This window comes from Homo sapiens, chromosome X (genome assembly GCF_000001405.40).
Source record: "Homo sapiens chromosome X, GRCh38.p14 Primary Assembly".
Lineage (NCBI taxonomy): Eukaryota > Metazoa > Chordata > Mammalia > Primates > Hominidae > Homo > Homo sapiens.
The window spans coordinates 92,192,144-92,217,089 of NC_000023.11; the positions used below are offsets into that span (position 1 = coordinate 92,192,144).

At 38.3% G+C, this 24,946-nt stretch overlaps 1 protein-coding gene across 14 annotated transcripts in view; it reads left to right on the forward strand.

The window, feature by feature from the left end:
- PCDH11X (protocadherin 11 X-linked) overlaps positions 1-24,946 on the forward strand; it is an 843,856-nt gene that overhangs the window by 412,769 nt on the left and 406,141 nt on the right. For 12 of the 14 annotated variants that reach the window (XM_011530911.3, NM_032968.5, XM_011530910.1 and 9 more), the window contains one exon: positions 9,232-9,312. The exons of the other annotated variants lie outside the window; for them this stretch is intronic. In XM_011530911.3, the coding sequence (XP_011529213.1) occupies positions 9,232-9,312 (81 nt within the window). The remainder of the gene's footprint in view (positions 1-9,231; positions 9,313-24,946) is intronic. 14 annotated transcript variants of the gene reach the window in all.

Here is a 24,946-nt window from a genome sequence, read left to right on the forward strand (position 1 = left end):
CTAATATTAGGAAACAAAAAGGTTGATAATTCTTTACTTTGTGAATTATAATTGACTTTTTAAAAAGAAAGTTAACTCATAATTGTAATAGCCGCTAACTCTCTGACAAACCTTTTGCACATAACTGGAAAGCATAAAAGACAAAAACTATAAGTTCATGATTTCATTCTCTTTTTATTTTTTTATGTTTAAATTTATTTGTTTGTTTGTTTATTTTTGAGATGGAGTCTCGCTCTGTCCCCAGGCTGCAGTGCAGTGGTGTGATCTCGGCTCACTGCAACCTCTGCCTCCTGGGTTCAAGCGATTCTCCTGCCTCAGCCTCCCGAGTAGCTGGGACTGCAGGCGTGCGCCAACACGCCCAGCTAATTTTTTTTTTTGTATTTTTAGTAGAGATGGGGTTTTACCATGTTGGCTAGGATGGTCTTGATCTCTTGACCTCATGATCCGCCCACCTCGGCCTCCTAAAGTGCTGGGATTACAGGCGTGAGCCACTGCACCCGGCCTCCATTCTCTTTTTAAACAATTAGTGCCATTATTCAGATATTGGAATGGTGGCAAGCTAGAGTAGACCCGGGTTATACAACTTTTGTGGTGGTTGTTGTTGTTTTGTTTTGAGAGGGAGTTTCTCTGTGTTGCCCAGGCTGGAGTGCAGTGGTGCTGTTTTGGCTCACTGCAACCTCTGTCTCCCAGATTCAAGCAATTCTTCTGCCTCAGCCTCCCGAGTAACTGGGATTACAGGCATGTGCCACCACGTCCAACTAATTTTTGTATTTTTAGTAAAGACGAGGTTTCACCATGTTGGCCAGGCTGGTCTCGAACCCCTGATCTCAAGTGATCCACCTGCCTCTGCCTCCCAAAGTGCTGAGATTACAGGTGTGAGCCACCATGCCTGGCCCCCAGGTTATACAATTATAATTCATTTATAGTTATGGGCAGACTTGTTTAACATTTAGGAATTATCAATCCAGTCTTCTGTATGTAATTAAAGGGGATTTTTTTTTAATTTGACATAGTTATTAAAAAGACTTCCTGCAAGCAAAATTACATATTGAAGGTAGTGAAAAAGACATTATTTTATGTGTTTGTGTTCTAGTGAATCTGAAAGATTAATCCATTTTAACCCTAGGGTGGGGTGTAGTAGTGGTGAATCATCTCAGTATTATTGATACACATCAGATTATTTTCATGATGGCATCCACTTTACATGCAGTAAAGTATGTATAACTTTTGTTTTTTGGTGGGGACAAGAATGATGCCAATAACCTAAACTATCTTTACTATATCGTGCTTTTCTTTGTAGGGGCTAGTTAAATCTTTAGGAGTTTAACTTCACCTATAGTATATTTATCTCCATTAATAACAAGAACATTATAATTTTTTACTAATTATGACAAAATTTAGTATTTTGAGCATAAATTTGGCCAAACTATTCCTCTATATTTTTTTCCAATTTCAAAATAATACTTTTATATTTTAAATAATATATTGCTTTAACATAATAAATTACTGTATATTTTCCCATTAAAGAGATTTATGCATGAAATATTTCCAAGTGAAAGATACACTTTTAAGTGTGTGATAAACCCATGAATTATTTCTACTCTCACACCTCTTAAAAAATTTTAAAATAAATGTTTATCTAAAAATCACTCTACAGTAAGCTGCTGAATAATCAATTGATTTCAGCCTTTTGAGCTTTTCAAATTCTTACTGGAAAAAACTACTTTGATGGAATGGTTTTCCCTTCCCTTAATCCTGCTCTGACAACTTACAAAATATTGGAAAATGCACAACTGCTATATCTGAATCATACGTTTAGAAAAAATTTTAATGCATTCATAGCCATCTTTAAAAAATTGGACAACATTCAAGAGACTCGCCCAGGTACTACTTACATAGTATATTTTTAGGAACTTATGGTAACAGCAGTGACAGTAAGTACTTTGAAAATAAGGACTAAATGAAGCTTATAGTATTGTGTTTTGTCTTTATTTGGGTCTAGTTCTTAAGAAAATAATTGGGGATCATTAGTTTGAAATATCTGTGCCTACATTGAGGAGTAATCTTGAGCGATTCTCAGAGAGGTGAAAATAAGAAATAATCCAATGAATAAGCAAACGTAAATTATTCTTTTAGGGATTTAAACATAATTTACTGATATTTTCTGATAAGTTTTGATATTTAAAATATGAAAGTTCAGATTACCTAATGTTAAATTAGCTGATGGATTGAACTTGTCTACTCATAATTCATAACTCTTCCACTGAATATTTGAAGCCCATAAATCCAATACAACTTCATTTTTATGGCACCTATCTTAATTAGCTTTCAGTCAGGATATTGAAATATGAAAATATACGCAGAATTATAGTTCTGTGCTGTTTTTGTTCTTTCACATGCTAATAAGAGTATGCATTTTTAAAGTTTAGTAAACTTAAATTATAAAAAGTGGGAAAATGTCTTCTCCTTGAAATAAAATTGATAAGCTAAGACTACATATATATCATCTGAGAAATAAATATTATGTTTTTTTTTTTTTTCCAGTAATGTCTGGAACAGCTAGAATCTCTCCCAGGTGCCCTAGGGCAGGCCATCTCATAGAGATATATGATCACTGGGTCTTGCTATCTAGATCTGGAGGCTTGTCAGGATCAGAGTTCTGCACAGAAACATTAAGAGATTTTGCACTGTGAATATTTCAACATGTCCAGATAATCTGTGTGAAAAGCATTGTTCTTTTGTGCTTCTCTGGATGACCTCTTTGCACAGAGTGATAGCTTTATCCTTTTTTCACATCATTATGTTTGCTGGGGGGAAATCATGCTGTGCTATGTCATAATAATATGTAATCTTCTTGCTCAGTTTAGCTGAGATTTAAGGAGACTCTGTTCACAGAAGCCCTTCTTTAAAACCTGATGTATAATTTTGCAGAATCACCCTAGCAGAAGAGCAAGAGGCTTTATAAGAGCGATACAACCATTAAAACTCTTAAACGAAGATTAGTTTCAAGTTTTACAATCCGGTACCAAACCATCTGGCAAATCTCATGTCGGGTTTTGTTAAAGCTCTGAGCTTTCTAAGGGTTAATTCATCCCCCTTCTATAACATTCCCCCTTCCCTAAACACACATAGGAACACACACTTGACTTGATGATTAAGATAAAAGATCTAATTAAATGCTCCAAGCTTGTTGATTTTTCCACCTGGTGATTTGTTGCTCTTGACGACAATTTCTAGATAGCTCTTTGCTTTTGGCAAAACCCTTGGAATCCTTATGGATAAATGAATATATTTCTCCCAAATTATTCATCTCGTTTTTTCCACATTTCTCTTGGGTCTAACTACATCCAGAAGGAGGATCCTCATTACCTTGTGCTGACAAACCACTTCAGAGGGACTCAGATTAGTCTGAAAAATATTGGACATGCCTATGAAATAACCCAACACTATTTTTCTCAAGATCTCATCATTGTAGCTTTGATGATGGCAGTTATCCTAGAAAAAAAAATGAAGTCTTAAAATAAATTTTAGTTTATATTAACCCGGGGTTGAGTCATTTCTAAACATTCCATCCATAGCTATCAAATTGTTCTTTGCATTTAGAAATCCATGTCTCCTGACACCAATTTGCATACAAAGCTCAAGACAAAACAAAAGACACACAAAGAATAAAGGAGAATTAATCATAGGACGTAAATTATTCCAGATTCACAATGTCTTGTCTGTGCCATGCTGTTGATAAACATAGCTTTACATGTCCCTTTAATTCTGCTAAATGTGTGCCAGTTTCCCCATGGAGAGGAAACATTATTAAATTATGTATTTTCTAGTCTTGCCGCAACTCTAAAAAACACAATGAAAATTCAGTTTGTGAGTTTATATGGGAACACTTTACTCTGTGTAACTTATAAGAAAGCTTATAGTTCTTATATTTCTTCAAGCATGTAATCTACAGAGTCCTTCTAGGAAAGAGAATATCTCAATACTTGAAAATTTTGACCAAACACTAAATATCAAATTCCAAGTCTAAACGTATTTTATCCAACCTTTCTCCTTGTCTCCACCTAAAAAAATTTCATTGATTTTTAAGCAAATATAGATACATTTTAAACATTTAAGTAGCCAATTTATTTTATACTTTGAATTGTCAGTTTGACTTAAAATCTATATTTATCCTTACTATAAGCATTAATAAATATGATTCATACCAGTCCTCAAAATTTAAGCTTTTGAGAAATCTCCAGTTTTAAAAAACAACTTTTGAATTTGAAGTTTCAACTAAATTCACACAAAAACTTGTATTTACCTGAGTAAGAAGAATTTATCTCTAATCAAAAGAGGCTTCTTCCAACTAGAGATTATGTAACAATTGGGATAAGTAAAAATAATTAATGTCTGCCTTACCCGTTCCCAGCACCCTCACTCATCACATTATTGTAACAGTGGTAAATTTTTGTTTTTCAGATATATGAAAAAAAAAATTAAAAAACCTCTAAGTAACTGGAATTTATTGTTTCAACAAATTTCAGGTGCTTCATAGTACCTTACTGATGAGAACTGAGGGTCATTTCTGAATGGGAATAGAAGATTGTGAGGCCAGCATACTCCATCCCTGGCAGGGCTGCTCGGGGCCTTTCTCTTGTATTAAAGTGGTAGCTTCACTTAGAAAAGAGACAAGGGGAGATAGAGGTGGAGAGAGAATGAGAGAGGGGTGGAGAGAGATTGAGAGAGAGAGAAAGAATGAATCACATGGTGAATGGCTTCTGCTTCATGTTGTTAGAGAAGATAAAACCATAATAGTGCAAACCAAGAGGATAATTACAAAATGCCAAGCATTTTATTATAGTAACTCAGTATCATAGAAGTATGTTATGAGGCTCATGTTATTATACTCATTTCACAGATGATGAAGCTGAGAATCATCTTAAATAACTTGACAAAATTCATAAAACTAGTAGACTGTAGAGCCAGACGTAGATTCCAAAGCCTCTATCCTTTCCACTGTTGCACCATATTGTTGAGTAGACTTTAGTCTCTTTTAAATATATATCTTTTCTTCCTTAAATATTGCATATAGAATACATCTTAACACCTCTAACAAATATAAGGCAGAAAGGCATGTCAGGAGAAAAGAAACATTAAAGAGAGTAGTAATTAACTGAGAGTTTCTCCTATTTCAGGAAACCTCTGGATTATATTCACTGCAATTAGAAAATATGTCCTGTAACATTATAAAAATTAAAAGTTGATATTGTTTCAAGGCTTTTAATGAAAATCATTCATCTATATATGTCCTGGGAAAAATAAACATCAAGTTACATTTTATATTTGTAAACTTTGCCATAGTTTTGATGAATGTTATTTCCACAGTAAGGGTCATGCTTTCTTTTAAGGAAATAAGAATGAAAAAAAGTTTTTATAAATGTAATCACTAGAAGCATCCCCCACATACTTACATGTCTTTAGGCATATATCATCATGCTAGATGTTGCATAGGACTCTCCAAAAAATATCTCATATGCATGTTTGAGGAGACCTTTTTGGCCCTAATCTGTCAATATTTCAACCATATGGCAATAAGATAACAATAATGTATCAGTTATACCCACTTGTAGTCTTTGGTAGCTAAAATAAAGTGATAACTATGACAATTTATAATGTCACATATTTGCAAATCCTGAGACTTCCATGGTGGGTTTGATTACCCAGAAAATGATAGCATACTTACATTTCTAGTGGAAAACCTACTGCATTTGAGAAAGAAATATAATTGCTGAATGCACCAGTGCATCTCTGGATTCTTTTTTTGCTAGATTTTGAAACAATAGTGGTGAAACTGTATTCAGAAATAGCATGATCTTATTGTTAGAATGATTTTCTTACCATTAGGTTTGAGTTGCAATACAATGTCTAATTGAGAGAAGAAAGGATGCATTCCACATTTCTCCTGAAAACAATCACAAAACCAGGAGCCGGGTGAGATGGCTCACACCTGTAATCCCAGCACTTTCAGAGGCCGTGGCAAACAGATCACTTGAGCTCAGGAGTTTGAGATCAGCCTGGGTAATATGATGAAACACTGTCTCTACAAAAAAAAAAAAGAAAAAAAATACAAAAATTAGCCGGGCATGGTGACATGTGCCTGTAGTCTCAGCTACTCAGGAGGCTGAGGTGGAAAGATCACTTGATTCTGGGAGGTTGAGGCTGCGGTGAGCCAAGATTGCCACACTGCATTTCAGCCTAGGTGACAGAGTGAGATCCTGTCTCAAAAAAAAAAAAAAAAAAAAAAAAAATCACAAAACCACAAAACCAGTCTGGGTTTACCTCTCTCAGCAGCTTTGCAATTAGTCAAGTTAAGGAAAGCAGTTAATGAATGAAGTTACTAAAGCTCAGATACTGTGCAACACTCTCAGGAAAACATTTGAGAACAGCAAGAAGAACCGGCCAGATTTAGAAAGTTCAATCAAATTATCTTTCTTCATAAGCCTATTTTTGCAAAGCAGATATATTTTGGGAAGTGAATTTTATTCTTTTAAATTACCTGCATCTTATTATTTTCATGAAAGACTTTATATATTTTCATGAAAGCTTCCTTTGGAAGCTGAAAATATATTTTCCATTTATTGCAAAAACTTTATTATTGTGTATATTTTGAGAAATAATTCTCACTTCTGTGAATTGGAATTTGCCTTAAAATTTTCTTACTTTTTGACAAAAAAAATTGGAATTAATAGAATTTTGAGCATTTACTCTTCATCAATGCTTCTTATGATCTAGCCTCTTCCTACCTCCTCCATAAATAAAATAATTCAAGAAAATTACAGATAATTTTTAATCTATAGAATTTCTAGATTCTAAAAGGTGGGAAATAATATAAACGTACCCCTTTTCTCTCACATATGTCTATTTATTTACACAGCATCACTAGTGAAACAACATATTTGTACTTGAAGGCGTTAATGCAATTTTAAACAAAGTCAACTTCCCTTCCAATGTCTAAATGATTAGCAAGTAATCTCTAACTCAGGAATAATAATAAGATCCAATATCTATCCTTCCTTCTCTTAGAAGTATTATTTTTTATTATTAGCAATAATGCCAGTGACATTTCTCAAGACTCTTTAAGATCATTGCTAAAACACACTTCTTACTTTTTGGCACTGAGCACTATCTTAATATGAACTGAATTAAAATGTGGCTTAACTCTACAAAGACTGTGATTCTTATAAAGCATTTTACTCTTTTCTTGAAAGTTTGACATCTAATTCCATAAAAGGAAAGATCGTTTGGTTCAGTATGTGGTACATGTAAGGAAAGAGAAATACAGATCTGCATTTTATTTCTCAGGTGTCACTGATGAACCATAGTTCATTTTCTTAAAACAGTCAAGCATAAATGTAGCTAAGCACTAAGTTTTCCTGCAAGTGTCATTTCTCTCACTTGCATTACAGTTAGGTCTCAGCAGTTCTGTATATTGGGGTTATTCTATTAGATGATTTCCTGGTTCTTAGTCTTATAACTATGTAATTTTGGAGAGGGTGGGGAGTGATAGAATATTGGCAGGGGTGGGGGGATTATTTTAAGTTCTTATTTTTGTACAAAACAAAATAATTTTTTCTAATGTTTGAATACTGAAGCATGTTATACAGTGGACATGTTTAGTTGCCAAATTTAAATGTGCAAGATACATCCACATAGACTTATACTTTTAACCAAGTAAAATAGCATCCCTACTTAATTAAATGGACATATGAATACAGCATTATGTATTTGACAGAGGGCAGCCCAGCAGACGTTGAACTGCTCACAGTTGACAGAGAATGTTTAAATTAGATGCTTAAAATGTGCATGTGAAATGCAACCCAAATAAACTTGGTTTTTTAAAAAAAAAAGTTAAATGTACCTTTTGGCCATTTGCATGTCTTCTTTTATGAAATGCCTGTTCATATCTTTTGCCCATTTTTAAATTAATTTTTTTTTCTATTGAGTTGTTTGAGTTCCTTATATATTCTGGTTATTTATCCCCAAAGCAGTCAACATCACTAATCTTCAGGGAAATGCAAATAAGAACCACAGTGAAATAGCATCTCATTCCAGGTAAAAGGGCTATTACAAAAAGACAAAAAATAACAGACAATGGAGAGGATGTGGAAAAAGGGGAATGCTAGCACCTTGGTGATGGGAATGTAAATTAATACATCCACTATGGAAAACAGTAAGGATGTTCCTGGAAAAACTGAAAGTAGATCTATCATATGATCCAGCAATCCTACTGCTGGTTATATATCCAAAAAAAAGAAAGAAAAGAAAATGGATATATCAAAAAGATACTTGCACTTCTATGTTTATTGCAGCACTAATCACAATAGCCAAGATATAGGATAATTCTTCAATCACTTCCAACTTGGTATTGCTTCCTTACATAAGTAACAACTGAACATCTTTGGTAAAATCTGTTAATTCCTGAAAAGACAAGGATCATTTGCACTGAGGATCTGCGTCCTCAATGCACTTAGCACTTATCACATCTATTAAATCTTTTGGCATTTATTACATCTATTAAATATCTTTGTATGGCAAATAGCAAATTTGTGTTGTGGTGGCGCACACAAGATTGATTTTAATTTGCAACAAGAGCATATTCACATATATAGCCCTTGAAGCCATTAGGTTGCAAAAGCATTGGACAGAAATTTTCTACAGCTTAAATGTCAGCCATTTAAATATTTTATTTTTTATCTTTATTTTATTTTATTTTATTTTATTTTATTTTATTTTATTTTATTGAGACAAGGTCTTGCTCTGCTGCCCAGGTTAAAGTGCAGTGGCACAATCATAGCTCACTGCAGCCTCCAAAATGCTGGGCTCAAGTGATCCTCCCACCTTGGCCTCCCAAAGCACTGGGGTTACAGGCATCATTTAAATAGTCCTCCACAATTTCATTCACATGTTTAATAGAACACATAAATGTAACACTCCATGTAAACTCCATGAGAAAATAAATTTCTTTTCTTTTTTTTCTCTTTTTTAATTCTAGTACCTAGAGCTATGTGTGGCATATTGTTAACCCTCAATAACCATTTGTTACATAAATAAACTATGATGTCTAAAAAGAGATAATCTACCCAGGCACTATTTTAGCTACCTATAGGCAATGTTTATATGAAATGTACTGTGTATTTTACTTTTAACAAACAGCTTAAAATACTTCTATTTTCTTCCCTTCTAAAGCCAATGAAGGAGGTTGTGCGATCTTGCACCCCCATGAAAGAGTCTACAACTATGGAGATCTGGATTCATCCCCAACCACAGGTATGGCAAAAGCCCTATGATTTTTCCTCCCCCTTCCTTTTAAATGATTTTTATAAATGTATAAGGAATACTCTTAAGTAGTGTGCATAATGTGTATTCCCTTACATTTCTTCAGGTGATTTTGTGCTGGACTCAAAATTTACTGTTGAAAATATGACAGTAAATAGATATCTTTTTAGTGTGATTTGATAATAACAGTGAAATTAACTTGTTGGATCAAGTAAAAGTGTTCCTCTAAAAGCATCTTCTAAATGTTTATTCTGCTGATGTTTAAGTGTACTTTTGTAATCATGGATTGAAAAAAGTAAAACTGCTGTTTTATAATATGACTTAAATTTAAGTTTTAGCATAATATAGCATAATTTGCTTTTTATGTTAATTAGGCAAATTTTAGTAAAACTTCACTGAAACAAATCTGGGGGATAATGTTAGCAGCAGTAAATATGGTAGGTCTGCAGCAAACTCTTCCCTTGGAGGGAAGAATTCAACTGAGGAACATAAGGTTGAGTGAGAGACCAATGCAAGTTTTAGAGCAGGAGTGACAGTTTATTAAAAAGTTTCAGAGCAGGAATAACAGGAAGCAAAGTGCACTTGGTAGAGGGCCAAGTGGGCAATTTGAGAAATCCAAGTACCCTGTTTGACCCTTGACTTGAGGTTTTTATACATTGGCATGATTCCAAGGTTTGTGTGTCTTCTTCCTTGATTTTTTGTTGGGATGGGCTCTCCACCTGCACAGTGGCCTGCTAGCACTTGAGAGGGGCCACATGTGCAGTGTGTTTACTGAAGTTGTGTGCATGCTCATTTGAGGCATTTTTCCCTTACCAGTTGAGTGTTCCTAGAGGAAGGTCATATACCAGTTAAATTCTACCATTTTGCCTCTTACTGTACATGTTTGAGCTCACCCACCCAACTCCTGAGATCTTATTGGGAAGCTGCTGATCACCAGCTTCAGGTGTTTTCTGTCTTTTGGGAGTCTCCCTTTCCTTGCCTCTGCTGCAACTGATTATTATTTTAGAGAGACAGTTTAATGACAGCCTGACCATCACCTGATGGTCACCTGACATTCCTGGGGGAGAAGCATCTTCTGCCCTGCTCATGTCTGTATAGCTACCTACTCTAACAAAACCCGTCTGAATTTGTTTTTAAAAATCAAGTTATAAGGTGTATTTGTAAAGCAACCACTTTTACTTATTTTGGTCAGGACAGCTCAAAAATGTGACCAAAAATTCAATTCTAATTTGTTTTCCTAGTATAGATTTTAAGAGGACTTAAAAAAATGGGGTTGGCTGGGTGCGGTGGCTCACGCCTGTAATCCCAGCAGTTTGGAAGGCCGAGGAGTGTGGATCACGAGGTCAAGAGATCGAGACCATCCTGGCTAACACAGTGAAACCCCGCCTCTACAAAAAATACAAAAAAAATTAGCCGGGCATGGTGGCAGGCACCTGTAGTCCCAGCTACCCAGGAGGCTGAGGCAGGAGAATGGCATGAACCCAGGAGGCAGAGCTTGCAGTGAGCTGAGATCGCACCACTGCACTCCAGCCTGGGCAACAAAGCAAGACTCTGTCTCAAAAAAAAGAAGGGGGGTTAGAAGGCCAATGTCCAGACATTAATATTTGGTATTCTATAACTGGTTATTATACTGTTGTTAATAAAGTCCTAAATCTGACTCCTCTGGTATCAAATTAATATCCATAAATTGCCTTCTACCTAGTTATTTTCAAATGTCTTTTATTTGTTATAGGATAAATAAATTCAAATAATGTAAATACATAAATATGAATCTAGACTATTAGATAAATAACCCAAATGGAATGGAAGGAGGATCATGTTAATTATTTAATGTATATGTGCATCTGAAATTCATGGAAGCCATGCATTCTGCAATTATAACATCCTACAGTATTTCACAGAGTTAATTTACGCTGTTTGCAAAGAGTTTCAGAATTGATTCATGCACTGTGAGAAGATATGATTAATATTATAAAGGTAAATCCCAACCCAGAATTCTGTCCAAATTGTCACAAGTTTTAAGTTATTCCAGCCTGAATTAGTGAAGTTTTGCCACGTTTGAAACTATCGTAACCTCCCAATGGGTTCTCCTTTCCTGCTGCCTAGACAGAGCCAATTTATCAAGACAGGAGAATTACAATAGACAAAGAGTTTAATTCACACAGAGCCAACTGTACAGGAGACTAGTTTTGTTATTACTCTAAAACTCAGGAGAGGATGGAAGTTTTTAAGGATAATTTGGTGGGTAGGTGGTCAGAAAGTGGAGAGTGCTGATTGATTGGGTCAGAGATGAAATCATAGGGAGTGCTGAAGCTGTCTTCTTTTGCTGAGTCACTTCCTAAGTGGGGGTCACAAGATCAGATAAGCCAGTTTACCAATCCGGGTGGTACCAGTTGATCCATCAAGTGCAGGGTCTGGAAAATACCTCAAGCACTGATCTTAGGTTTTACAATAGAGATGTTATCACCTGCAGCCCCAACACCACATGTAAGCCACCAAGGCTTGGGGCTTGCACCCTCTGAAGCAATGACCTGTGCTATATTTTGGGTCCTTTTAGCCATGACTGGAACTGAAGCACCTGTGACACAGGTCACCATGTCCTGAGGCTGCACAGAGTAAGAAGGCCCTGGCCCAGCCCATAAAATCATTTTTCCCTCCTAGGTCTTGGTTCTGTGATGGCAGGGGCTGCCAGGAAGGTCTCTAACATGTCCTGGAGACATTTTTCCCATTGTCTTGGTGATTAACATTTGGCTCCTCATTACTTATGCAAATTTCTGCAGCAGGCTTGAATTTCTCCCAGAAAATGAATTTTTCTTTTCTATCATATCGTCAGGCTTAAATTTTCCAAAATTTTATGCTCTGCTTCCTTTTGAACTCTTTGCCACTTAGAAATTTCTTCTGCCAGACACCATAAATCATCTCTCTGAAGTTCAAAGTTCCATAGATCTCTAGGGCAGGGGCAAAATGCCACCATCCTTTTTGCTAAAACATAGCAAGAGTGACCTTTACTCCAGTTTCCAACAAGTTCCTCATCTCCATCTGAGACCACCTCAGCCTGTACTTCATTGTCCATGTCACTATCAGCAATTTGTTCAAAGCCATTCAACAAGTCTCTAGTAAGTTCCAAACTTTCCCACATTTTTCTGTCTTCATCTGAACTGTTGAAACTGTTCCAACCTCTGCCTGTTACCCAGTTCCAAAGTCGCTTCCACATTTTAGGGTATCCTTATATCAGCACCCCACTACCTCAGTACCAATTTACGGTATTAGTCCGTTCTCACGCTGCTATGAAGAAATACCCGAGACTGGGTAATTTATAAAGCGAAGGGTTTTAATTGACTCACATTTCCCCATGGCTGGGAAGGGGGCCTCAGGAAACTTATAATCATGGTGGAAGCCACCTGGTGGCAGGAGACAAAGTGAGTGCTGAGCGAAGGAGGATTCCCCTTATAAAACCATCAGATCTCATGATAATTTAATATCATGAGAACAGCATGGGGTAAACTGCCCCCATGATTCAATTATTTCCACTTGGTCCCACCCTTGACACATGGGGATTATTACAATTCAAAGTGAGAGTTGGGTAGGGACACAGAGTCAAACCATGTCAGGCTATTATCGTCTTTGTTTTAAAGTTAAACCATAAACTAAGTTCCTCCAACAGTTCAGCCTACACCCAGGAATGAACAAGGACAGCTTGGCAGTTGGAAGCAAAATGGGGTCAGTTAGGTCCAATCTCTTTCACTGTAATAATTTTCTTAGTTATAATTTTTGCAAAAGTGGTTTTACTATGACTTTCGAGTCATGCCCTGCTGATTCAGTCTCAAGAAAATTGGTGAGAATGTAGAATACAAAGCAAACATAATATAATAATCCCACCTACACCTGTATCCAAGAGGCATCTCAGAATTATACTACTAGTTTATTGAATGTTTGATTAAGAAACCGTTGCAGTCGTCCTCAGAATAGAAGTGTTGAAGAAAAGCACACAATTTCAAATAAGCACCTTAAGATTATAAAATTTAACCTACCAGTATGACATCAGGTATCACTGGGATAAATAGAAGTCAGATGGAATTAGACATTATAATATAACACTTTTCCTCGATGAATAAGAAGATGCTAAATCAATGTTTTTTTTTTTTTTTTTTTTGAGACTGAGTTTTGCTCTTGTCGCCCAGGCTAGAGTGCAATGGAATGATCTCAGCTCACTGCAACCTCTGCCTCCCATGTTCAAGCGATTCTCCTGCCTCAGCCTCCCAAGTAGCTGGGATTACAGGTGCCTGCCACCATGTCCAGCTAATCATTGTATTTTTAGTAGCGACGGTGTTTCACCATGTTGGCCAGGCTGGGCTTGAACTCCTGACCTCAGGTGATCCACCTGCCTCAGCTTCCCAAAATGCTGAGATTACAGGCATGAGCTACTGCACCTAGGCATAAATCAATGATCTTTTATCTAACCAAGTAGTTATTTCTGACTGTATTCCTGTAAATGGAGTCCCATATAATTAACTCTACTGATTTACCAATTACCAATTCTTTTGTCTGTTAACAAAGATAAAATCTTGTTATTGACACAATTATTTCTTACACAGGGAGTACTTTTTTCTTGAAGATCTTTTTAAAGTTATCTGACAGCCTTGATTGCCTGAGGCTTCAACTGCAATTTAAGATAGACCATAGACTGATGGGTTACATTTTGTATATGGTATTATTACAGGCAAAGTATGTACGGATAAGGACTTTTCAATCTTGTTTTTAAGGAACATTGTGCTTACCCCTGAAAAGCTTAAATAAAATACTTATTTCATGAATAAACTTTTATGGTTTCTTATGAAATATCTTATTTTTAACAAGATATTCATTACTTAATTTGGGGAATTTTAAAAGCAATATTCTGAAAATAGAGCCTAGTGGAACTAGAGTGCAATTTAGAGGTTAAATTATTTCTGTTCCTCCACTGAAATCTTTAAATACTTTGATAATGCCACATTCAACAATTTAGATGCCAATTAATTAACATTCATGATACAGATAGTGACTTTTTAAAAAATTTTTAATTTAATTTTATTTTTTTTTGAGATGGAGTTTTGCTCTTGTTGCCCAGGTTAGAGGGCAAGGCCACTGTCTCGGCTCACTGTAACCTCTGCCCCCTGAGTTCAAGTGATTCTCCTGCCTCAGCCTCCCAAGTAGCTGGGATTACAGGTGACCACCATCGTGCCTGGCTAATTTTTGTATTTATAGTAGAGACAGTGTTTTACCATGTTGGCCAGGCTGGTCTTGAACTCCTGACCTCAGGTTACCCATCTGCCTCGGCCTCCTAAAGTGCTGGGATTATAGGTGTGAGCCACCACGCCTGGTGGTTTTTGTTTCTGTTTTTGTTTTAATTGGCAAATGCTACAATACTGTCCCATAAAACAGAGTGGATCCTAGCTGAAAAGCCAACTATTCAACTAATTAATGTGGAATTGTGAAATCATAGGTCAATTTTCTTTGAGTAAAGAAAATCAAATGAGAATGTCCATTTCCTTATTAGGATAATTATCATTTTTTGTGAGTATCTTTAAAAATATTTTGATACATAACTGGAGTAAATATACTGAAGTCCTAAATTAGGTTTTCAAAAATTAATGTTAGTTTTAATCAACTTCAGAAGTTAAATCAAACCACCCTGAAAACATTTTCAATTTCTAGGGGCCAATGGGACCAAAAACATTCACTGCAGCAAATATGCTAGCAGCTGTGCAATACTTAGAGGAAGTAGAGAGGTACTCAAAAAATGGCAGTCGATCAGCTTTGCACATGCCATATGTATATGTGAGTTAGCATGGAATTCTTATTTTTTTGTAATGTGGCATTTTATATGATTTGATCGTTTCCCCTTCCACAGTAAATTCACCCTTCACCTTCCCTTCCCCTGATTCATGGCAATTATAATGCTCCATGAGTTAGCAAGCCTAAAACTGAATGATGTTCTGTAAAAAAACTGAAACAAAATAAAACTGGGGTCTACTTATTGGTGCTTTTTCATGCTTTTCTATGACATTGAATGGCAATTGCCCTGCTTGTAAAAAAATTATTCTACTAAGATGCCATTCTAATTATGAATTTAGACAATATCTTGGCTACCACTGTACTTCATTAAATACAATATTTTGTAATCATGTCTTATTTTTACTGAGAAATAAGTAGCTTGGAATAATAGCACTAGACAACTGCTGTAGAATATATGGGAGTGGGGAATGGACTTATTGTTTGACTTTAATTTTCCAAATATCAATGGTCACAGCTTATGACTCATGTCTCCTACAAAAAACATAACTGACTTCTGGCAAAAAAGGACATAAAATAGTGCAATGTAAAGTGATACAAGATAAATAAAGACATTAGAAAGAATGATCACTTTGAAAAAATGATGGAAGCTAAATGTGGTCATAAAACTTATTTCTTGGCTGGGGGTGGTGGCTCACCCCTATAATCCTAGCACTTTGGGAGGCCGAGGCAGGTGGATCACGAGATCAGGAGTTCAAGACCAACCTGGCCAAGGTGGTGAAACCCCGTCTCTATTAAAAATACAAAAATTAGCTGGGTGCGGTGGCAGGTGCCTGCAATCCCAGCTACTCAGCAGGCTGAGGCAGGAGAATCACTTGAACCCGGGTGGCAGAGGTTGCAGTGAGCTGAGATTGTACCAATGCACTCCAGCCTGGGTGATAGAGTGAGACTCCATCTAAAAAAAAAAAAAAAAAAAAAAAAACTTTTCTTTAAAAATTTTATATAAATTTACTATATATTAGGCAGTCTCCTAAGCATTTAAAACATTAACTCATGTAATTTTCATTACAAACCTGTGACTGTTATTAAAACTATTATTATTATTTTCTGTATTTTATAGATGAGGAAATTGGGGAACAGAAAGATGCTAGTAAGTACCAAAGACAGGATTCAAACTCCCTTTGTCTGGCTTCAAAGCTCATTTTCTTATTACTATATTACAGTTTCTCACTAAGAATGTAAAGAAACAACCGAAGGTGGTCCCTGAAACTAATATATATATATATATATATATATATATACAATTTTTTTTAAAGGAGGCTCTTTCTGGTGTTAGAAGAGTATAGTTTTCTATTCAGCTAGAAGAACACCTGCATATATTTGCATATGATAAAGTAAGATGATCCTTTATGATGCTGGAGTGAAAAGAAATAAACAATAAGATACACAGACCACACAGAATATAAGGTGTTGAAATATCCCCGAAAATGCAATTTTTAGAAATGGTAAATATACTAGTCTCTTCTCACACTGTTATAAAGAACTACCTGAGATTGGGTAATTAATAAAGAAAAAAGGTTTAATTGACTCACAGTTCTGCAGGCTGTATAGGAGGCATGGCTGTGGAAGCCTCAAGAAACTTACAATCATGGCAGAAGGTGAAGGGTAAGCCAGTCCATCTTACATGGTGGAAGCATTAGGGAGAGGGAGTGAAGAAGGAAGTCCTATGCACTTTCAAACAACCAGGTCTCGTGAGAACTCACTCACTATCATAAGAACAGCAAGGGGGAAGTCTGTTCCCATGATTCAATCACCTTCTACCAGGTCCCTCCCACAACACTGGGGATTACAATTAAACATGAGATTTGGGTGAGCACACAGAGCCAAACCATATCACTCCTCCACCAACCCCTCCCAAATCTCATGTCTTTCTCAGATTTCAAAACACAATTATGCCTTCCCAGCAGGCCCCTAAAGTTTTAACTCATTCTAGCTATTAACTAAAAATTCGAAGTCCAAACTCTCATCTGAGATAAGGCAAGTCCCTTCTGACTATTAATCCGTAAAATTTTTTTAAAAAGTTTGCATGTCCGAGATACAACGAGGGTACAGGCATTGGGTAAATCCTCCTACTCCAAAAGAGAGAAAATGGCAAAAACAAATTGGCTACAGGCCCTACGCAAGTCCAAAACCCAGCAGGGCAGTTATTACATTCTAAAGCTGCAAAATAATTACCTTTATACCATGTCTTACATCCAGGCCACACTGATGCAAGGGATGGGCTCCCAAGTCCTTGGGCATCCCCACTCCTGCAGCTTTGCAGCGTACAGCCTTTTTGGCTGTTTTCATGGGCTGGCATTGAGTGCCTGTGGCTTTTCTAGGTGCACAGGGCAAACTTTCAGTGGATCTGCCATTCTGGGGTCTGGAAAACAGTGGCCCTCTTCTCACAGCTTCACTAGGCAGTACCCCAGTGGGGACTGTGTGTGAGGGCTCCAACCCCACATATCCCCTCTGTACTGCCCTAGTAGAGGTTCTCCATGAGGGCTTCATCACATGCAGCAGATATCTGCCTGGACATTGAGGTTTTTCCATACATCCTCTGAAACCTAGGCGGAGGCTCCCAAGCCTCACCTCTTGCCCTCTGTGTAACTGCAGGCTCAATACCATGTGGAAGCTGCCAAGGCTTGGGGCTTGCACCTGCTGAAGCAAGGGTTCAAGCTGTACCTTGGCCCTTTTTAGCCACAACTGGAGCTGGAACAGCTGGGACACAGGGTGCCATGTCCTAAGGCTGCACAGAGCAGCAGGGTCCTGGGCATGGCTCATGAAACGATTTTTCTCTCCCAGGCCTTCAGGTCTGTGATGAGAGGGACTTCCATGAAGGTCGCTGAAATGCCTTCGAGGCATTTTCTCCTTTATATTGGCTGTCAACATTTGGCTCCTCTTTACATATGCAAATTTGTGCAACCAGCTTGAATTCCTCCACAGAAAATGGGCTTTTTTTTTTTTTTTTTTTTTTTTTTGAGACAGAATCTCACTCTGTCACCCAGGCTGTAGTACAGTGGTGCGATCTCAGCTCACTGCAAGCTCCGCTTCCCAGGTTCATACCATTCTCCTGCCTCAGTCTCCCGAGTAGCTGGGACTGCAGGCACCCACCACCATGCCTGGCTAATTTTTTTGTATTTTTAATAGAGACGGGGTTTCACTGTGTTAGCCAGGATGGTCCTGATCTCCTGACCTTGTGATCCACCTGCCTCAGCCTCCCAAAGTGCTGGGATTACAGGCATGAGCAACTGTGCCCGGCCCCCGAAAATGGGCTTTTCTTTTCTACCACATGGCTGGGCTGCAAATTTTTCAAACTTTTATGCTCTACTTCCATTTTAAAATATAAGTTACAGTTTCAGGTCATTTCTTTGTTTATGCAAGTGAATATAGGCTCTTAGAAGCAGCCTGGTCACACCTTGAACACTATGCTGCTTAGAAATTTCTTCCACCAGATACCCTAAATCATCTCTCTTAAGTTCAAAGTTCAACAGATCCCTTGAGCAGCGGCACAATGCTGCCAGTCTCTTTGCCAAAGCATAGCAAGAGTGACCTTTATTCCATTTCCCAGTAAGTTCCTCATCTTCATCTGAGACCACCTCAGCCTGGACTTCATTGTTCATATAACTATCCACATTTTGGCCACAACAATTTAACAAGTCTCTAGGAAGTTCCAAACTTTCCCTCATCTTCCTGTCTTCTTCCGAGCCCTTCAAACTGTTTCAACCTCTGCCAGTTACTCAGTTCCAAAGTCACTTCTGCATTTTCAGATAACTGTATAGCAATGCCCCACTTCTCTGGTACCAATTTTCTGTATGAGTTTATTCTCATACTGCTATAAAGACATACCTGAGGCTGGGTAATTTATAAAGAAAAGAGGTTTAATCGTCTCATGATTCTGTGGGCTGTACAGGCTTCTGCTTCTGGGGAGGCCTCAGGAAATTTACAATCATGGCAGAAAGTGAACGAGAAGCCAGCACATCTTCACATGGTGGGAGCAGGAGGAAGAGAGTGAAGGGGCAAGTCCTCCACACTTACGAACAACCAGGTAGCCTCACAACTCACTCACTATCATGAGAACAACAAGAGGGAAACCCGCCACCATGATCCAATTACTTCCTACCAGGTCCCTCCCTCAACATTGGGAATTACAATTCAACATGGGATTTTGGTGAGGACACAGAGCCAAACCATATCAGTAAACTGCTATGATAATCTTTAATGAAAATCTTTCTGTAGGTTGAGAAAAACTAAGAGTGATGGAATGTGAGAATTAGCAGTGTTGATGAATGACCTAATCCTGGAATAGTGCTAACAGGATCACTAATTCAATATGTTAGCAGTAAATTTACTAGATGAAGGAACTGCTACATTAATCTTATATTTTACCACAGCACAATTAAGAATCCACAGGAATTTGGCTAATCAGTTTTCATAAAATAAAATTATCTCTTACATAATTCTTTCATATTCCAAATGGTCTATAATTTATGACAGAATGAGTCACACACCGATTTGAGTTTTTGTTTTGTTTTGTTTATAAACAAAGCACCCCAAAGGAAGATTTAGATGCTCAGGTTAAAGGTCAACACTAGTGTCTTTACTTATTTTCCAAGGAAAACTACCTTTCTAGACTATGCATAATTGATTCATTAAATGTTAGACTATGCTTGGGCAATATTTTTGTATTGATTTCAATTTGTGTCTATGTGGTGGGGCCACTTGCAATGCTTTTTTTTTTTTTTTTTTTTCCTGAGGCAGAGTCTTGCTTTGTCACCCAAGCTGGAGTGCAGTGGTGCAATCTCAGCTCACTGCAACCTTCACCTCCCAGGCTCAAGCAATTCTTGTACATTAGCCTCCCAAGTAGCTGACATTGCATGTGCACACCACCACACTCCACTAATATTTGTATTTTTAGTAGAGATGGGGTTTCACCCTGTTGACCAGGCTGGTCTCAAACTACTAGCCTCAAGTAATCCACCCACCTTGGCTTCCCAAAGTGCTGGGATTACAGACGTGAGTCACAGTGCTTGACCCTTGGAATGCTCTCTTATTTATTTACTTATTTATTTATTATTTTATTTTATTTTTTGAGACGGAGTTTTGCTATTGGTGCGCAGGCTGGAGTGCAATGGCACTATCTCGGTTCACTGCAACCTCCACCTCCCGGTTTCAAGCAATTCTCCTGCCTCAGCCTCCCGAATAGCTGGGACTACAGGCGTGTGCCACCATGCCTGGCTAATTTTGTATTTTTAGTAGAGACCGGGTTTCTCCATGTTGGTCAGGCTGGTCGCAAACTGCCGACATTAGGTGATCCACCCGCCTCGGCCTCCCAAAGTGCTTGGATTACAGGCGTGAGCCACCGCACCTGGCCTGGAATGCCTTTTATTAGCAATGTAAGTATCTTGAAAAAAATTCACTGGGGTCACAAAATAATACAAAGTTTTCCAAGGTGCACATACCATTAACTTCCTTTACTTGTCAGCTACAGTTTCACAACAGGTGATATTTTTGATACTTTTAAGATACTCACACTTTAAAAAAATGTTTTTGAATCACACACTTCATAGTTTAATGTTTTCCTCAAAACCCAACACACTTATCTTTTGGCTTGAAGTTCAGAATGTGTTTCTTTGGTATGATTTCTTTAAGTTGTATGGAAAATGTGTATGTTCTTTAGAAACATAAGCTAACTATTATCATGGAAAGATTTGAGGTAAGAATTATTTCAAAGCTTAATCTGGGAACTTTTGAGAGATATTTTCATCTTCAAGAATTATGTTGTTGAAGGCCTTAAATGCCAAGACAAGTTTAGAGGTAACTCTTCAGACAGTAGAAAGACTAAATATAAAAAAATCAACATACCCTGATGTGATAACATTATTTGTAAGTGCAGGGTTTTATTTTTAGACATATGGAAAATATTCAACATTGTTCTCTGCCCAGAGTCCTAAGATTTTGTCATTGTCATTGACCTTTAGCCGTTTGAGTACTTTGCTTTTAATCATTAGTAACTTTTATTTTTGATTACTAACGGCATTATATTAAGTGCTCTAAAGTAATAATTTCAATTTATTCAGTCCTTATAGCAGCTTTATTGATGTATAGCCATTAATGCCTCAGTTGAGGAAACTGAGGCTCAGAGAGGTTAAATAATGTGCCTAAAGTTGCACAGTTTGCAAGTGTTTGATAGGGGGATTTAAACATAAATATTCTGATTCTAAAGTCCATGCTGTTTGTCCAATCGTACACTGTCCTCTATTCTTATATTTATACATAATGGCTCCTCAGCAAACATGTATCCCAGGTGTGACCTGACATCCCACGATTCTCATGGCATGTTAATGAATCTTAGCAACAGAGCAGATGGGTGTCATGTCCATAGATAAAAGGCTTATGAGCTCCCACAGCAGATGAATACACAGCACGACAGATGGGAACCATTCTTCTGGAGCTCTTGGACTACAAAATATTGGCAACCAACTTAGAAAAAAAGTTGCTAACTATGCCTTTTATATCTACCAGTTATTAGGCTTTGGAAAATAAATTATAGAATTTAAGCACTATTCAACATAATAATAAATCAAATGAATAAAATATGGAGTTTCAGTTTTCAAATATAAGGAAGAAATCAAGGGTGAATATACTTCTATCATATGAATCATTTGTTTACATAGAGTTTTGGATTATGACTCATCAGCCTATGCATGAGTCTTCTAGCAACGTCTAGCACCCAAGCAAAACAAATTGCATTTGTAATCACAGAAGTAGCCTTGTTGATAACACTGAAACCAAGCTGCTAAAAGCTCATCACTTGGCTTATCATGAGGACTCATAAGTAAAGCACATTGAGAGTGAAATGGAGGCCACTTGAGAGCGGAATAAATACCAGGAATAGGTGAGGCCAGAGTTGGGGGCCTCATTGCATTTTGGGTGAAGGTATGATCCTCAAAGAAGAGTTGCCAGTAGGGCACATTCAAATGCGCAAGAAGGAATTTGATTAATTTCGACTAACTTTAGGACGCCAAAAGTCCTGATCTGGAGGGAAACATTCTGCAGAAAAAATCATGTGATCAATGATGATACTCATGGTTAGGCAACCTCATTATTTGGTTCTCTTTGTAGTAAGAATGCAGCCAGTGATTATCTCATTAACTGTACACAGACCCTGAGACAAGTGATAAATTATTTGAATTTGTTTCCACATCTGTAACTTGGGGGTATTTGTATCATTCTTGTAGAATTGCCATGAAGGTTAGCACAATAAAGTTTCTAAAGTGAGCGTATGGGAGATGTTCAATAACCAGGTAATCAATTCCGTTTTTTCCCTCCAATCCCATCTGAAAATTGGAAGGTAAAACAGGAAGCAGGGAAACATAGACACGTGCAATTGGTTTAGTAAACATGGACGTTTAGGTTTCCATGGCCAAACTAGCACGTTAAATTCTGTACTTAGATAGTGAGACTGGGCCTGTTAAAGTACTGCCAGGAGGCCAGGCGTGGTGAATCACACCTGTAATCTCAGCAATTTGGGAAGCCGTGGCAGGTGGATCATTTGCACCCAAGAGTTTGAGACCAGCATGGGCAGCACAGCGAAACCTCTTTACTACTAAAATACAAAAAAAATCCATGTGTGCTAACACATGCCTGTAGTCCCAGCTACTTGGGAGGCTGAGATGGGAGAATCACCTGAGCTCAGGAATTTGAGGCTGCAGTAAGTGGAGATCCTGCCACTGCACTCTAGCCCCGGCGACGGAAGGGAGATCCCGACTAAAAAGAAAACACTGGGGAAGCAGCCAAGATGGCCGAATAGGAACAGCTCCGGTCTACAGCTCCCAGCGTGAGCGACGCAGAAGACGGGTGATTTCTGCATTTCCATCTGAGGTACCGGGTTCATCTCACTAGGGAGTGCCAGACAGTGGGCGCAGGACAGTGGTTGCAGCGCACCGTGCGCGAGGTGAAGCAGGGCAAGGCATTGCCTCACTCGGGAAGCGCAAGGGGTCAGGGAGTTCCCTTTCCTAGTCAAAGAAAGGGGTGACAGAAGGCACCTGGAAAATCGGGTCACTCCCACCCTAATACTGCGCTTTTCCGATGAGCTTAAAAAACAGCACACCAGGAGATTATATCCTGCACCTGGCTCGGAAGGTCCTATGCCCACGGAGTCTCGCTGATTGCTAGCACAGCAGTCTGAGATCAATCTGCAAGGTGGCAGCGAGGCTGGGGGAGGGGCGCCCGCCATTGCCCAGGCTTCCTTAGGTAAACAAAGCAGCCCGGAAGCTCCAACTGGGTGGAGCCCACCACAGCTCAAGGAGGCCTGCCTGCCTCTGTAGGCTCCACTTCTGGGGGCAGGGCACAGACAAACAAAAAGACAGCAGTAACCTCTGCAGACTTAAATGTCCCTGTCTGACAGCTTTGAAGAGAGCAGTGGTTCTCCCAGCATGCAGCTGGAGATCTGAGAATGGGCAGACTGCCTCCTCAAGTGTATCCCTGACCCCTGACTCCCGAGCAGCCTAACTGGGAGGCACCCCCCAGTAGGGGCAGACTGACACCTCACACGGCCGGGTACTCCTCTGAGACAAAACTTCCAGAGGAATGATCAGACAGCAGCATTCGCGGTTCACGAAAATCCGTGGTTCTGCAGCCACCGCTGCTGATACCCAGGCAAACAGGGTCTGGAGTGGACCTCTAGCAAACTCCAACAGACCTGAAGCTGAGGGTCCTGTTTGTTAGAAGGAAAACTAACAAACAGAAAGGACATCCACACCAAAAACCCATCTGTATGTCACCATCATCAAAGACCAAAAGTAGATAAAACCACAAAGATGGGGAAAAAATAGAGCAGAAAAACTGGAAACTCTAAAAAGCAGAGCACCTCTCCTCCTCCAAAGGAACGCAGTTCCTCACCAGCAACGGAACAAAGCTGGACAGAGAATGACTTTGACGAGCTGAGAGAAGGCTTCAGATGATCAAACTACTCCGAGCTACAGGAGGAAATTCAAACCAAAGGCAAATAAGTTGAAAACTTTGAAAAAAATTTAGACGAATGTATAACTAGAATAACCAATACAGAGAAGTGCTTAAAGGAGCTGATGGAGCTGAAAGCCAAGGCTCGAGAACTATGTGAAGAATGCAGAAGCCTCAGGAGCCGATGCGATCAACTGGAAGAAAGGGTATCAGCGATGGAAGATGAAATGAATGAAATGAAGTGAGAAGGGAAGTTTAGAGAAAAAAGAATAAAAAAAAACGAACAAAGCCTCCAAGAAATATGAGACTATGTGAAAAGACCAAATCTACGTCTGATTGGTGTACCTGAAAGTGACGGGGAGAATGGAACCAAGTTGGAAAAAACTCTGCAGGACATTATTCAGGAGAACTTCCCCAATCTAGCAAGGCAGACCAACATTCAGATTCAGGAAATATAGAGAATGCCACAAAGATACTCCTCGAGAAGAGCAACTCCAAGACACATAATTGTCAGATTCACCAAAGTTGAAATGAAGGAAAAAATGTTAAGGGCAGCCAGAGAGAAAGGTCGGGTTACCCACAAAGGGAAGCCCATCAGACTAACAGCGGATCTCTCGGCAGAAACTCTACAAGCCAGAAGAGAGTGGGGGCCAATATTCAACATTCTTAAAGAAAAGAAATTTCAACCCAGAATTTCATATCCAGGCAAACTAAGCTTCATAAGTGAAGGAGAAATAAAATACTTTACAGACAAGCAAATGCTGAGAGATTTTGTCACCACCAGGCCTTCTCTAAAAGAGCTCCTGAAGGAAACACTAAACATGGAAAGGAACAACCGGTACCAGCCACT